Below are 17,109 nucleotides of genomic sequence, written 5' to 3' on the forward strand. Positions count from 1 at the left end.
AAATTTTTAAATGTTAAAATTCAATGTTTCCAAAGATAAAAGAATTATCTTTTGCTCTTTGGTTATTTCCAAGACTGTTGTGTGTTTCACTATTGAGGTTGTTTGAATGAAAAAATATAATTGAAACATTAAAAATATATACCCATATATATTACTGAATTTATAAACATAAGTTTCTGCAAAATTAAATACTAAATAATTAATTAAATACTAAATTAAATATTAAAATATGTTAGGATACCAATCTTATAATCTATTCAGTTTTAATATATCTAAAATGTCTTCTTTGTTTAATATAGCACCAATATGATAAGATCATTGAAGAAAGAGACTCAGAATTAGGACTTTATAAGAGCAAAGAACAAGAACAGTCATCACTGAGAGCATCTTTGGTGAGATACAGAAAAAATTGCAGTAACGGCCAGTTTTCATAATGTCAGCAGTGACTGGTGGTAAAGAATAATATTAAGTAAAACTAATTTTTGAGCTATAGAATCAGAGTCTTAACTCTGAAAGGGATCTTATAGATCTTCTAGTTACATGTTTTTTTCTAATTTAGTTTTTGAAATAGTGGAACAAACTATTTTTTCAAGTGAAATTTTATAAACTCCAGTAAACAAATAAGTTTGGACCTCTGATTGAAATTGGGAGAGGAGGGTGGGATAAACTGGGAGAGAACGAGGAGAGATATACTTTGTGTTGAAGTTTTCTTTAAAGAAAACTACAAAAAACTTGATTTTGTTTTGTTTTGTTTTGTTTTTGTTTTTTGAGTTGGAGTCTTTCTGTGTCCCCCAGGCTGGAGTGCACTGGCATGATCTTGGCTCACTGCAACCTCCACCTCCCGGGTTCAAGCAGTTCTCTGGCCTCAGCCTCCTGAGTAGCTGGGACTACAGGTGTGCATCACCACACCCGGCTAATTTTTGTATTAATATTTTTAGTAGAGACGGGGTTTCACCATGTTGGCCAGGCTTTCCTCAAACTCCTGACCTCGAGTGATATGCCTGCCTCTGCCTCCCAGGGAAGTGCTGGGATTACAGGCATGAGCCACTGCACCCAGCCCAAAAACTTGTTTAAATGAGGTTTTTAGCTATGTTAAGCTAGCAGCCTTTATATCAGTTGACTTTAAAAGTATCTACATTTTATGAGTGAATTTATTTCTCTACAATATTAAATTTACTCAGAGCACTAGTTTATATTTTCATTGTCTTGAGAAATACATGGAAGCTCTTCTAAACTTCATGTTTCTTTTTCTTTAGGAGATTGAACTATCCAATCTCAAAGCTGAACTTTTGTCTGTTAAGAAGCAACTTGAAATAGAAAGAGAAGAGAAGGTAGGTTTTTTGGCATTATAGATAAAATGATTACAAGGTTTAGGGGCAACTTTGCATTTTTAGAATTATGTCATATTATAAAATAATTTGATAAATTTTAATAACGGGATGAGAAAATAATTTTCCCCCAGAAGCTTTTTTCTAGAAACATTTAGAATATTTCCTAATGTAAATGCAAAACACACGTAAATATAAGTGTACTTTTAAGAAAAGAACACTTTTGTGGCTCATGTCTGTAATCCCAGCACTTTGGGAGGCCGAGGCGGGCGGATCATGAGGTCAGGAGATCGAGACCATCCTGGCTAACACGGTGAAACCCTGTCTCTACTAAAAATACAAAAAATTAGCCGGGTGCGGTGGCGGGCGCCTGTAGTCCCAGCTACTCGGGAGGCTGAGGCAGGAGAATGGCGTGAACCCGGGAGGCGGAGCTTGCAGCAGCCGAGATCGCGCCACTGCACTCTAGCCTGGGAGACAGAGCGAGACTCCGTCTCAAAAAAAAAAAAAAAAAAAAAAAAAAAAAAAGAAAAGGAACCCTTTTTTTTCTGCAAATACTGTTAACATTTTTAATGTATATCCTTCTAGCATGTTTCCTTTTTTTTTATTATACTTTAAGTTTTAGGGTACATGTGCACAACGTGCAGGTTTGTTACATATGTATACATGTGACATGTTGGTGTGCTGCACCCATTAACTCGTCGTTTAACGTTAGGTATATCTCCTAATGCTATCCCTACCCCCTGGAACACTTTTAAATATACTGTATATGAGTAATATTATCTCGTATTAAAATGCTTATATATTTAGATATGCTTTTTTTGAAGCTATTCATCATGTTTCAGAAAAAAAGGCTATCTCTGTAGTGTTTTACAGTTTGCAAGGTGAATTGATTCACCCTATAAATGACAAATACTATTTTTTTTGGTTTCTATGAGATGGGAACTGTGTTTAGTACCCTACTTACATTTAATTTAATCTTTACAGCAATGTTATATCCCACAATTTATTATTATCTTTACTTTGACAGAGGTTACATTATTTATTCAGGATTACGTAGTAAGAGAGCAGAATGACTAGATTTCAAACCTAGGTCTATTTTTGCATGGCTTCAAACCTATTCTCTTAATCACTCTGCAACAGCTTAGGTAACATACACTTTCAATTTCAAGCCTCTGAGAATTTGTTTACTTTGTTTCCTGCATTTAATTCCTTTCATCCTTTTCTATCTTGGAAAATCTCACACATCTTTCATCTTATAGTTGTGAGCTTACTATATATGTGTGTATTCTCATAGCACTTTGTTTTTAATGTTAAAATGGTTATTTCACTCTGTGCCCCCTGTTATATTGCAAGCTCTGCAAGGTCTAATTATGCCTTATTTATCTTTGTTTTCCCTTTATCTGAGTACAGGGCTTTGAAATTTTTATATTTTCAATTAAAGGACTAACAAAATGGCTTTCCCTTCATCTGCAATAATAAGATTCATGCTTACCTTTATCCTACTGTTTCAGTAGAAGAGGAATTCTTCTGTGGCTTAACTCTTGATGCTATTAAACCCTCAGCAATCTTTACTTTTTACTCTAGTCAGTAAACATAAATAAGAATAAGAATTCTGTTACTGTAGCTTGTATCTCAAGTTCTTTGGCTCTCACATAAGTAGAAATTAACACCAGGCCAAAGAGACATTTTTCTCAGGGAAGGTTTAATAGGCTTGTGGCTCAATCAAAGCAAGGGAGCAGTTTACGGCAAAGGGATCTCCGTGCTAGCTCCCTGAGGCTCAGCTCCTGTCATTTTAGAAGCTGAGGCAGAAAATGAAATGATGTACAAGCATGTTTAGGCGAAATTTTCTTTGTGTTTGCGCAATGGGGCATCATGCTCTGACATACATTGCATGATCAGAAAATGGTGGATAAGCCCTGCCTTGGGTGGAGATTTTAGTATTAAAATGATACTATAATGAGGAAAAAATCAGTGAAAGGTCAGTGTTGGAGTCTGTCTTGTCTTCAGCAGACTGGATCTGGTCCAGTTCTTATCGGGAATGCCAGAGCCTCACTAACCTTGAAAGATGGTCAGGTTCTTATCAGGAATGCTAGAGTCCCACTTTTAGTAACCTTGGGAGACATTACTTCAAGGAGATAAACAATTAGTTTCTTCTTTTGATAGTTAAGAATTCAGCCTAGTCAGCTAAGTTAGGAGAGGCCCTCCTTCTGCTATGTGACTTGGGTCAGCTTATTAAGGGAGACAGGAAGGTAGGGGAGAGAATATGCCTTGATATGTGAGGCCCATGGGGTCTTGATTACTATGTCTGTGGTCTACCAGGGCTCAATCCCTTCCCTATACTGTCTCATTTCTATCATCTTATAAAAACTTAAACCATTAAACTGCTTAAGCTGCTATACTATTCTGTTCTTTTCTTAAGTATTAGTCTGTTTTTTCAGGTCTTATCTCCTCACCTATTACAATTTAGCTATTGGCCTAACTGCTTTCTTGTCTTGGGTCACACTGAACTCCTTATTAACAAATTTAAGGGCTTCTTTTTTATTTGCATATCAAAAATAATTTAGGACCTCCATTTACATCGTATTGTGTTTCTTTCTGATCATCTATGAAAAAATATATAAACACAAACATGTGCACACATGCACACACACAAATATGCCTGTACATAGATAGATATAAAAAATTTGGGCTTGTGATAGATTGTTTTATTCAAAATGTATGCTGCCCTTTTCTATTAGGGTCCCTCCCAAAGGAAGAATTATGTATTTCCACCTCGCTGACTTCAGATTTGGCCAAAGGTTTTGTTTTGCCCAATGGAATGTGAGCAAAAGTGGCTTTTCTGAGAGGATGCTTTAAGAGACACCACATCGTCTTCCCAGCCTCTCTTTTCTTTTGGCCTTGAGACTGACGTAGAAGTTGCTTCTTCAGCCTAGATTCCTGGAGATAACAAGGAGTAGGGTAGAAACCAGTCTATAATTGACATGTAATGTGGTTGAGAAATAAACTTCTCTTGTAATCCACTAAGATCTGGGGTTGTTACTACAGTGTAATTTAGTCTAAGCTCATTGATATAAGGATTTATTGTATACCTAAATTTATATTGTTTAATAAAAACACATTATGTTTATATTTTATAAAATATTAATACAGAAAAATACAAAAAGGGTAAAAATAGCCTACAAACCCATATCTCAGAGTTTACTGTTTTTCCATCTGCTTTCCAACTTTCTATATACTGAGATTGGACTAACAGTTATAGAGATAATACCTTTAGGTGTTCTTCTTCTATTTAAAAAATGTCCACTTTTATTGCATTGTCTATACTATTGTTACTTTTTTGAAATTTCTTTAGCATTTTCTTTATGCTGTAAAATATAGTCAGTATTTATGAATGTACATGAGGACATAAAATGAAGGTATAATTATAATCTATAGACTGATTATCTAGCTAATGATGAATGCTAATTATACATACATATATACATAATTATGTTAAATTACACTCTTTTTTTTTTTTTGAGACAGAGTCTCACGTCTCACTCTGTCTCCCAGGCTGGAGTGCAGTGGTGCAATCTCAGCTCACTGCAAGCTCCACCTCCCGGGTTCACGCCATTCTCCTGCCTCAGCCTCCCTAGTAGCTGGGACTACAGGTGTCTGCCACCACGCCTGGATAATTTTTTGTATTTTTAGTAGAGATGGGGTTTCACTGTGTTAGCCAGGATGGTCTCAATCTCCTGACCTTGTGATCCGCCCGCCTCAGCCCCCCAAAGTGCTGGGATTACAGGCGTGAGCCACCACGCCCGGCCTAAATTACACTTTTATACACATTTTAAGAATGTAAGTAATACATACAAATGTAAAGGAAAATGTTGATGGAATTCTAGAGCTTACATCCCAGAATAACTTTTATCTATTTTGGGCGTGTATCACTTCATATGGCTCCTTTATGAAAAAACAAAAACATAAACAAAAAGAACCATAGTCAGATACACTTACACATATCAAGAAAGATAAAGAAAGAATACCTTTGAAAAAAATGCCATATTAGCTACTTTAAACTAAAATATACATATTATATTTGAATTTATCGGAAAAAATAATTTGAAATTGGAATTGCAGAATTATTATTAAACTTAAGATAGATATTTCTTTACAAAATATTTAATAGTTCTTGAAAGGGCTGAGATTCTAGGGTGAAGAAAACAGACTGAAAAACATTTTGAAGAGGGAGGAAAGTTGTAGGTGCCAGTGTAGTTTCTTTTAATTAAGCTTTTTATTTTGAGATAATTGTAGATTCACATGCAGTTGTAAGAAATAATGTAGAGAGATCCCATGTATCCTTTATTAAGTTTCCCCCCATGGTCACATCTTACAAATTGTAGGACAATATCACAACCAGGATTTTGACATTGACACAATTAAGATACAGAACAGTTCCATCTCCATAAAGATTCCTCATATTGCCCTTTTATAGCCACATCCACCTCCCTCCCCCACCCCTGGCAATCACTAACATGTTCTCCATTTCTATAATTTTGCCATTTCGAGAATGTTATCTAGATGGATTCATACACTATGTAACCTTTGTTACAGCTTTGTTTCTTGGAGATTTATCCAAGTTGTTAGTCCAACCTGAGTATATAGAAAGTTGGAAAGCAGATAGAAAAATGTAAATACTTTTTTTTAGTTTTTATTGCCAAGTAGTATTCTGTGGTATGGAGGTACCACAGTTTAAGAGTTTGCCCAGTCAAGGGTACCTAGTTGTTTCTAGTTTTGAGCTATTATAAATAAAGCTGTTATGAACATCTGTGTACAGGTTTTGGTGTGAACCTGTTTTCATTTTTCTGAAACAACTACCTAAGAATACAATTGCTAAATTGTATGGCAGTTGCATATTAGTTTCATAAGCAACTGCCAAACTATTTTCCAAAGTGGTGGTACCATTTTACATTACCATAAGCACTGTATAAATGATCCAGTTTCTCTGCATCCTTACCAGCAGCAACTTGCTATTTTTTATTTTAGTTATTCCTGTAGGTTTGTAGTCATAATTCATTGTGGTTCTAATTTGCGTTTTTCTGCTGTTGAACAGTGTATTAGTCTATTCTCATGCTGCCAATAAAGACATACCTGAGACTGGGTAATTTATAAAGAAAAGAGGTTTAATTGACTCACAGTTCCACAGGGCTGGGGAGGCCTCAGGAAACTTACAATTATGGTGGAAGGGGAAGCAAACATGTCCTTCACATGGCAGCAGGAAGGATAATGAATGCCAAGCAAAGGGGGAAAAGCCCCTTATAAAACCATTAGATCTTGTGAGAACTCACTGTCACGAGAACAGCAGCATGGGGGTAACCAACCTCATGATTCAATTACTTCCCACTGGGTACTCTCCCACAACATGTGGGGATAATGGGAACTACAATTCAAGATGAGATTTGTATCTGTGTTTTTATTTTTAACTAATTTTCTAATTAGACTTGTTTTTACCTGTTGAATTTTAAGAATTCTTTATATAATGTAATTATTAGTCCTCTGTCAGAGGACTTATTCCATTTGTGTTGCTATAACAGAATACTTGAGACTGGGTAATTTATAAAGAACAGAAATGTATTTTTCTCACAGTTCTGGAAAATGGGAAGTTCAAGATCAAGGTGCCAGCATCTGGTGAGGGCCTTTTGTGGCATCCTCCAGAGAGAGAAATGACCTGTCTTCATATGGTGGAAGATAAAAAGGCAAAGAATAACAAGAGGGCCAAACATGTCTTTTTATGATGGGATTCCTGCCACCCATAAGGGCAGAGCCCTCATGGCCCTATCACCTTCCAAATGTCCTACTTCCTAACAATGCCACAATGACAACCAAATTTCAACATGAGTTTTGGAGGGTACAAACATTCAAACCATAGCATCAGATATGTGGTTTGCCAGTGTATGCTCCCAGTCTATAGCTTGTCTTTTTATTCTAACAGTTTTTTTGCAGAACAAGTTTTTAATCTTGATAAATTTTAATTTCTCAGTTTTTCCTTTTATGGATTGTGCTTTTGATCCCAAGTCTAAGAACTCTTTCCCTAGCCCTAGATCCCAAAGACTTTGGCCTGTGTCTTTTTGTAAAAGCTTTAGAATTTTATTTTTTATACTTACATCTGTGATCCATTTTGAGTTAATTGTTATATAAAGCGTGAAGTTCAGTTTTTTGCCTATGGATCTCAGATTGCTCTGTCACCAGCTGTTGAAAAGACTGCTTTATCTCCATTGAATTACTTTCAAACTTTTGTCAAAAACTAGTTAGGCATGTTCTTATGGATCTATTTCTATGGTCTTTATTCTGTTCCATTGATCTATGTGTCTCTTCACCAATATCACTGCCATGCTTACTTTATACTAAGCCTTAATATCAAGTAAAATGATTCTCCTACTTTATTTTTCTCTGTCAAGATTGTTTTAGATGTTTTAGTACCTGTTACTTTCCATATATTTTAGAATAAATTTATTTTTACAAAAACCTTGCTGGGATTTTGATAGAAAATTTATTAAACCTATAGATCACAGTTTGAGGAAAATTGACATCTTTACTTTGTTGAGTTTTCAAATCTATAGCATGGTATTTTTCTCCATTTATTAGATATTTGATTTCTTTCATAAGAATTTCATAATTTTCATTATATAGCCTCTAAACCTGTTTTGTTAAATGTATATCTATTTCATTTCCTTTCATGCAATTGAAAAAAATAGACATTTGTTCTTATTTTTATTAATTTTTAATTGACAAATAGTAATTGTGTACATTTATGAGGTGCAATCTGACATGTTGATATACGTACGTGTACGTTATAGAAGATTCAATCAAACTAATTAACATGTCTATGACCTTGCCAACTTATCATTTTTTTGACGTGAGAACATTAAAAATCTTTTAGCAATTTTAAAATATGCAATATCTTATTATTAGTGGTGGTCATCATGCAGTGCAATAGATTGTGTTTTTAATTTTGTTTCCTATATGCTTATCATTAGTGTACAGAAACATGATTGATTTTTGTGTTTATTTTGTATCCTGTGCCCATGCTAAACTTATTTATTAGCTCTACAATGCTTATTTTTATTCTTTGTGATTTTCTGTGCAGACATTTGTCATCTTCAGGATGATTGGAAAGGATGAAGCACTAATATTAATAAATACAATAATAATTAATTATATTTTATTTTATCCTTTCCAGTCAGTATGCTTTTTATTTATTTATTTATTTATTTATTTATTTATTTTTTATTTATTTATTTTTGAGACGGAGTCTTGCTCTGTCACCAGGCTGGAGTGCAGTGGCGTGATCTCGGCTCACTGCAACCTCCACCATCTGGGTTCAAGAGATTCTCCTGCCTCAGCTTCCCGAGCAGCTGGGACTACAGGCACACGCCGCCATGCCCAGCTAATTTTTGTCTTTGTACTAGAGACGGAGTTTCACCATGTTGTCCAGGATGGCCTCAATCTCTTGACCTCGCGATCCGCCTGCCTCGGCCTCCCAAAGTGCTGGCATTACAGGCATGAGCCACCGCGCCTGGCCTTTATTTCTTTTTCTTGACTTATTACAGTGAATGACTAGAACTTCCAGTACCATGTGGTAGACTGATAAGTGGCGAGAGCATACATGCTTGCAGTATTGATAAATGTAGGGAGAAAAGCATTCAATTTTTTAACCAATAAGTATGATGTTAGCTATAGATTTTTTCTAGATTTAAAAAATCAAGTTGATGTAATCTCCCTGTAGTAATTTAATTAGAGTTTTTAAAAATCGTGAATTGGTACTGGATTTTATCAGATGCTTTTTCTGCATTGATTGATATTATCATATTATTTTTCTTTTTATCTTGTTGATATGGTGGATTACCTTGGTTGATTTTTTGAATGCTATTCCCTAGAATAAATCCCATTTGGTGTATGACATATACATATGGAGAGTGAGAAACAGGGAGAGAGAGAGAGAGGGCACTTGCTAGATTTAATCTGCTAATTTTTTGTTGAGGATTTAAAATATAAGTTCATGAGAAATATTGGTCTGTAGTTTTCTTCTCTATACTATCTTGTCTGGTTATGATATCATGAGTCTGGAAGTGTTTTCCTTGCTTCTGTTTTCGGGAAGAGATTGTATAAAATTGGTGTTAATTTTTCTTTCTGTTTGGTAGACTGGTAGCCTTCTCCAGTGAAACTATCCAGGCTTGTAGATTTCTGAAAAGGACTTTTAAACAATAAATTCAATTTCTGTAATGGTTAATTAGGCTGTTTCAGGGTCACCATTAACCCACTCTTATCTCCTCAAAACAACAAGAATTCTGCACCTATCCAGTCAAAATCTCACTTTGGGAGCCTCAGGACTCAAGAGGGAGTCTCTGAAACCCTCATGGAACCAAAGACCTTGGAGGGTCATTTTGAGAGTGCAGACTGACAGCACTTGGAGGGTCATTTTGAGAGTGCAGACTGACAGTAGGTTACAGGTGGCTGACCTACTGAGTTTGCTCCCAGGTTCAAGCCCAGGAATGGCCCAGTCCTCTAAGTGGCTTGGCTATAGCCCTCTTTGTCCCTGAGCTTGCAATCAAAACCATCTGCCAAAGAGTCCGGGGGAATCACACTATTAGTGCCTTGATAGAAAGGCTTGTCTGCTTGCTGATATTGGTTTTGGCAGTGAACATAATAGTTGTTTTGTGGCACTTCCCTAGCCCACTTTATCTGAGGTCCCAGCTGAGAGCTGCTAACACAAGGACCCAGAGGGAGACTCACCCATACCTCGCAGCTGAGGAGTCTAAGCCATCCTGAATAGGATCACCAACCTCTTTCCTTGTGCTGTCTCTGAGATCTATCTTGTCTGGGAGATGTGTACCTGTTTGGGCTAACAAGATGGGCTCTCCAGCCTGTGTCCCCCAGCAGATCTTGGATGGGTGGTGGGGGGACAGTCACAGGTCTAGTCCTTCCTGCTGCAATCAGGGAACTATCCTGTCTGTGCAGGGCCCTGCTGAGAGATGTACACTCCTCTAATCCAATGGGATAGGCATTCCAACCTCTATCTCACAATAATCCTGAGGGAGCTAATTCTCAGCTCCAGTCCATCCTGCTACACTTAGGAAACTATTGTCTGTGCAGGGTTCTCCTAGGAGACATGTGTTCTCTCAGCCACCAAGATTAGGCTCTTCAGCCTCCAACCCACAGCAGATCCTGAGGGGAACTATGGTCAACTCCAGCCCCTCAAGCTGCACTTGACATCCTATCTTGCCCATGCAGAGACCTGCTGGGAGGCATGTCCATCTCAGCCACTCGGACAATCTTCTGAACTCAGGTCCCTGGTCAGCATTCCCATACAGCTCTAGTACCCTCCTTGGATCTTTCCCAGGCTTATCTGGGCTGGAATGGCATGTCAACCTTGGAGTCCTTGCAAGACTCATGGCAAGTGTGGACTTAGAGCATCCTCTAGTGCTGAGATGGCTGCAGTGGTCACAGGCTCAGGAAACACAACAACCAGACTTCTTAGAATCACTAGAATCACTGAGAACCACAAACAAAGGCAGACTGTGCCTACAATTAAATACTTAATCTCTCAGTGTGCAGACATTGTCACACATCCACAAGCATCAAGAACATTAAGGGAAATATAACCTCACCAAACAGACAAAATAAGGTGCCAGAGACTGACCCTAAATTGATGGAAATGTGTGATCTCTCAAAGAATTAGAAATGGCCAGGTTTTGTTGTTGTTGTTGTTGTTTGTTTGTTTTTGTAGAAACAGGGTTTCTCTCTCTTGCCCAGGATGAAGTGCAATGGTACAATCATAGCTCACTGGAATCTCCAACTCCTGGGTTCAAGAGATCCTGTGGTCTCAGCCTACTAAGTAGCTGGGACTACAAGTGACCACCACCCCACCCAGCTAATTTTTAAATTTTTTGCAGGGGTCTTGCTATGTTGCCTAAACTGGTCTTGAACTCCTTAAGTAAACATTAAGTTTACTTAGATGTAAGACCTGAAACTATGAAATTACTGAAAGAAAACACTGGGTAAATGCTACAGGGCATTGGTCCGGTCAAAGATTATTTGAGTGAGACCTCAAAAAGCATAGGCAATGAAAGCAAAAATGGATAAAACAGGATTATATCAAGCTACAAAGTCTCTGCACAGCAAAGGAAACAGCAAAGTGAGAAAAATCAACCCTTGGAATGGGAGAACATGTTTGGAAACTATCCATCCAACAAGAGATGAATAACCAGAATATATAAGAAACTCAAACAATTCAATAGCAAAAAACCCCAAATTATCTGATTAAAAATTGGACAAAACATTTCTCAAAAGAAGACATACAGATGGAAACAGGTATATGAAAACATGCTCAACATCACTAATCATCAGGGAAACACAAATCAACACCACCACAATGAGATATAACCTCACACCTATTAGGATGGCTGTTGCTAAAAGTCAAAAGATAGCAAGTGTTGATGAGGATGTGGAACAAAGGGAACCCTTGTTTACTGTTGCTGGGAGTGTAAATTGGTACAGCCATTATGGAAAACAGTCTAGAGGTTCCTCAAAAAACTAAAAATAGAGCTACCTTATGACCCAGCAATCCCATTACTGAGTATATATCCAAAAGAAAGGAAATCAGCATATTGAAGAGAGATCTAAATTCCCATGTTTACTGTAGCACTATTCACAATTGCCAAAATATGGAATCAACTAAGTGTTCATTAACAAGTGATTGGATAAAGAAAATGTGGTATACATTCCATATGCAATGGAATATTAATCAGCCATAAAAAAGAAGGAAACTTTGTCATTTGCAACTACATGGATGGAGCTGGAGGATATTGTGTTATGTGAAATAAGCTAGGCACAGAAAAACAGCTGTTAAATATTCTCACTCATATGTGGGAGCTTAAAAAATTATCTCATGGAGGTAGTAAATACAGCGGTGGTTACTGGAGGCTGGGAAGGGTAGTGGGGAGGGAGGGATGAAGAGGGATTGATTAATGGGTACAAATATACAATTAGATAAAAGATATAAGTTCCAGTGTTTGGTAGCACAATAGGGCTAGTGTAGGTTTCAAAATATTGAATACTTCAAAATAGCTATAGGAGAAGAATTGGAATATTCCCAACACAAAGAAATGATAAATGTTTGAGATGATAGATATCCTAATTACTCTGATTTTGATTATTATGTATCATATACAGATATCAAAATATCACATGTACTCCCAAAATATGTACAACTATTATATATCAATAAAAATTATTTAGTAATTTATCTTTTTATTATTCAGTTTTAAAAGTTCTTTATTTCAGGCCGGGTGCGGTGGCCCATGCCTGTAATCCCAGCACTTTGGGAGGCTGAGGCGGGCGGATCACAAGGTCAGGAGATTGAGTCCATCCTGGCTAACACGGTGAAACCCTGTCTCTACTAAAAAAAAAAAAAAAAAAAAAAAATTAGCCGGGCATGGTGGTGGGTGCCCGTAGTCCCAGCTACTCGGGAGGCTGAGGCAGGAGAATGGCATGAACCTGGGAGGTGGAGCTTGCAGTGAGCCGAGATTGTGCCACTGCACTCCAGCCTGGGCAACAGAGTGAGACTCCGTCTCAAAAAAAAAAAAAAAAGAGTTCTTTATTTCAGATACATGTTCTTTATATGATGTACTATTTGCAGATATTTTCTCTCATTCTGTGGGTTGTTTTTTCAGTTTCTTGTTGGTATCATTTGCAACACAAAAGTTTTCATTTTGATGAAATTCAGTGTATCTAGATGCCCTTTATCAAACTGAGAAAGTTCTCTTCTATTCCTAATTAGTTTAAAGGTTGTTTTGTTCTCTTTTGTTTTACCATAAAAGGGTGTTAGATTTGTGAAATGCTTTTTCCATGTCTGTTGAGGTGATCATGTGGGTTTCTCCGTTTATTCCATTAATATTATGTATTACAGTAATTGATTTTCAGATGTGAAACCAACTTTACATTCTTGGCAGAAATTCTACTTGGTCTTGGTATATAATCCCCATTTTATTTTGCTGGATTTGGTTTGCTAGCATTTTGAGTTGAGAATTTTTTGCATCTACATTTATGAGAGCTATTGAGCTATAGTTTTCTGTCTTTTAATTTTTAATTTTTGTGGGTACATTGTAGGTGTGTATATTTATGGGGTGTATGGGATATTTTGATAGAAGCATACATTGTGTAATAATTTTATCAGAGTGAATGAGGTATCCATCACCTCAAGCATTTATCCTTTGTATTACAAACAATCCAATTATACTTTTAGTTATTTTAAAATGTCCACTTAAATTATTGGCCATAATCACCCTATTGTGCTATCAAATGCTATATCTTATTCATTCTTTCTATTTTTTATATCCATTAACCATTCTCCTTTCCCCACACACCCCCTCCCCTCCTCCCTACTACCCTTCCCAGCCTCTGATAATCATCCTTCTATTCTCTATCTCCATGAGTTCAATGGCTATAATTTTTAGTACCCACAGACAAGTGAGAACATGGAAAGTTTGTCTTTCTGTGCCTGGCTTATTTCACTTAACATAATGACCTCCAGTTCCACCCATGCTGCTGCAAATCACAGGATCTTATTCTTTTTTATGGCTGAATAGTAGTTCAGGGTGTGTATGCACCACATTTTCTTTACCCAGTCATCAGGTGATGGACATTTGGGTTGCTTCCAAATCTTGGCTATTGTGAACAGTGTTACAGTAAACATGGGAGTGCAGATATTTCTTAGGTAAATGGATTTCTTTTCTTTTGGGTATATACCTAGCAGTGGGATGGCTGGATCATACAGTCTATAGCAGCTGATTATTTTTAGTTTGCTTGTTTTTTTTTTTTTTTTTTTTTTGAGATGGAGTCTTGCTCTGTTGCCCATGCTGGAGTGCAGTGGTGTGATCTCGGCTCACTGCAACCTCCACCTCCTGGGTTCAAGTGATTCTCCTGCCTCAGCCTCCCGAGTAGCTGGGATCACAGGCATGCACCATCACCCCTGGCTAATTTTTGTATTTTTAGTAGAGATGGGGTTTTGCCATGTTGGCCAGGCTTGTCTCGAACTCCTGACCTCAGGTGATCCACTCGCCTTGGCCTCCCTAAGTGCTGGGATTACGGGCGTGAGCCACCACGCCCAGCCTATTTTTAGTTTTTTGAGGAACCTCCACAGTGGTTGTACTAATTTACATTCCCACCAGCAGTGTATGAGGGTTCCCTTTTCTCCACGTCCTCGTCAGCATTTGTTATTGCCTGACTTTTGGATAAAAGCCATTTTAACTGGGGTAAGATGATATCTCATTGTAGTTTTGATTTGCATTTCTCTGATGATCAGTAATGTTGAGTACGTTTTCATATACCTGTTTGCCATTGGTATATCTTCTTTTGAGAAATGTATTATCTTTTTGATATGCTGTTAGACTCGGTTAGCTAGTATTTTGTTGAGGATTTGTGCATCTATGTTCATCAGGGATATTTGTCTGTAATTTTCTTTTTTCGTTTTGTCCTCTCCTGGTTTTGGTATTAGGGTGATACTGGCTTCATAGAATGATTTAGGGGGGATTTTCTCTTACTCTATCTTTTGGAATAGTTTCAGTAGGATTGGTGCCAATTCTTTGAATGTCTGACAGAATTCAACTGTGAATCCATCTGGTCCTGAACTTCTTTTATTGGCAGTTTTTAAAAATTACCATTTCAGTCTTGCTGCTTGTTATTGGTCTGTTCAGAGTTTCTCTTGCTTCCTGGTTTAATCTAGGAGGGTTGTATATTTCCAGGAATTTATCCATCTCTTCTAGGTTTTCTAGTTTGTGCATGTTAAGGTGTTCATAGTAGCCTTGATCTTTTTTATTTCTCTGGTATCAGTTGTAATATCTCCTGTTTCATTTCTGATTGAGCTTATTTGAATCTTCTCTTTTCTTGGTTAATCTCACAAATGGTCTATCAATTTTGTTTATGTTTTCAAAGAACTAGCTTTTTGTTTCATTTATCTTTTGTATTTTTTGTTTCAATTTCATTTAGTTATGCTCTGATCTTTGTAATTTCTTTTCTTCTGCTGAATTTGGGTTTGGTTTGTTCTTGTTCCTCTAGCTCCTTGAGATGTGACCTTAGATTGTCTATTTGTGCTCTTTCAGACTTTTTGATGTAGGCATTTAATGCTATGAACTTTCCTCTTAGCACTGCTTTTGCTGTATCTCAGAGGCATTGATAGGCTGTGTCACTATTATCGTTTAGTTGAAAGAATTTAAGAATTTCCATCTTGATTTCACTGTTGACCCAGAGACCATTCAGGAGAAGATTATTTAATTTTCACGTATTTGCCTGATTTTGAGAGTTCCTTTTGGAGTTGATTTCCAATTTTATTCCACTGTGGTCTGAGAGAGTACTTGATATAATTTCGATGTTCTTAATTCATTGAGACCTGTTTTGTGGCCTTTCATATGGTCTGTCTTGGAGAATGTTACATGTGGTGATGAATAGAATGTATATTCTGCAGTTGTTAGGTAGAATGTTCTGTAAATACCTGTTAAGTGCATCTGTTCCAGGGTATAGATTAAGTCCATTTTTTCTTTGTTGATTTTCTGTCTTGATGACCTGTCTAGTGCTGCCAGTGAAGTATTGAAGTCCCCCACTATTATTTGTGTTGCCATCTATCTTTTTTTTTTTTTTTTTTTGAGATGGAGTCTTACCTTTTTGCCCAGGCTGGAGTGCAGTGACACAATTTCGGCTCACTAAAACCTTCGCCTCCCAGGTTCAAGTGATTCTCCTGCATCAGCCGCCTGAGTAGAGTAGCTGAGATTACAGGCAGCCGGCACAACACCCAGCTAATTTTTGTATTTTTTTAGTAGAGACAGGGTTTCGCTGTGTTGGCCAGGCTGGTCTCGAACTCCTGACCTCAGGTGATCCAGCCCGCCTCAGCCTCCCAAAGTGCTGGGATTATAGGTGTGAGCCACTGCACCCAACATGTCTATCTCATTTTTAAGGTCTGGTAGTCATTGTTTTATACATTTGGGAGAACCAGTGTTAGGTGCATATATTTTTAGGTCTGTGATATTTTCCTGTTAAACAAGTCCTTTTATCATTATGTAATGTCTCTTTTTGTCTTTTTAAACTGTTGTTGCTTTAAAGTCTGTTTTGTCTGATGTAAGAATAACTATTCTTGCCTGCTTTTGGTGTCCATTTGCATGGAATATCTTTTTCCACCCCTTTACCTTAAGTTTATGTGAGTCTGTATGTGTTATGTTAGGTGAGTCCCTTAAAGACAGCACATACTTGGGTTGGTGAATTCTTATATATTCTGCCATTCTGTATCTTTTAAGTGGAGCATTTAGGCCATTTACATTCAACATTAGTATTGAGATGTGAGGTACTCTTCCATTCATTGTGCTATTTGTTGCCTGAATACCTTGATTTTTTTTCATTGTGTTATTGTTTTATAGGCTTTGTAAGATTTATGCTTTAAGGAAATTCTATTTTGGTGTATTTTTAGGTTTTGTTTCAAGATGTAGAGCTCCTTTTAGCAGTTATTGTAGTGCTAACTTGGTAGTGGCGAATTCTCTCAGCATTTGTTTGTCTGAAAAAGACTTTATCTTTTCTTCATTTTTGAAGCTTAGTTACACTGGATACAAAATTCTTGGCTGATAATTATTTTGTTTAAGGAGCCTAAAGATAAGACCCCAGTCCCTACTAGCTTGTAAGGTTTCTGCTGAGAAGTCTGCTGTTAATCCAATAGGTTTTCCTTTATAGGTTAGCTTGATGCTTTTGCCTCACAGCTCTT

General features: G+C 37.0%; 1 protein-coding gene across 11 annotated transcripts in view; it reads left to right on the forward strand.

The window, feature by feature from the left end:
- SYCP1 (synaptonemal complex protein 1) overlaps positions 1–17,109 on the forward strand; it is a 141,283-nt gene that overhangs the window by 91,902 nt on the left and 32,272 nt on the right. For 9 of the 11 annotated variants that reach the window (NR_104211.2, XM_017002184.2, NM_001282541.2 and 6 more), the window contains 2 exons: positions 300–392; positions 1,257–1,331. Coding sequence is in view for 10 of the 11 variants with exons in the window: in XM_017002184.2 (XP_016857673.1) it covers positions 300–392; positions 1,257–1,331 (168 nt within the window). In the remaining variant the exon portion in view is untranslated. Of the gene's footprint in view, positions 1–299; positions 393–1,256; positions 1,332–4,066; positions 4,185–17,109 lie in introns of those variants that run through there. The other 2 variants (XM_011542037.3, NM_001282542.2) reach the window with 2 other exon arrangements.

Source organism: Homo sapiens, chromosome 1 (assembly GCF_000001405.40).
Source record: "Homo sapiens chromosome 1, GRCh38.p14 Primary Assembly".
NCBI classification, from domain to species: Eukaryota; Metazoa; Chordata; class Mammalia; order Primates; family Hominidae; genus Homo; species Homo sapiens.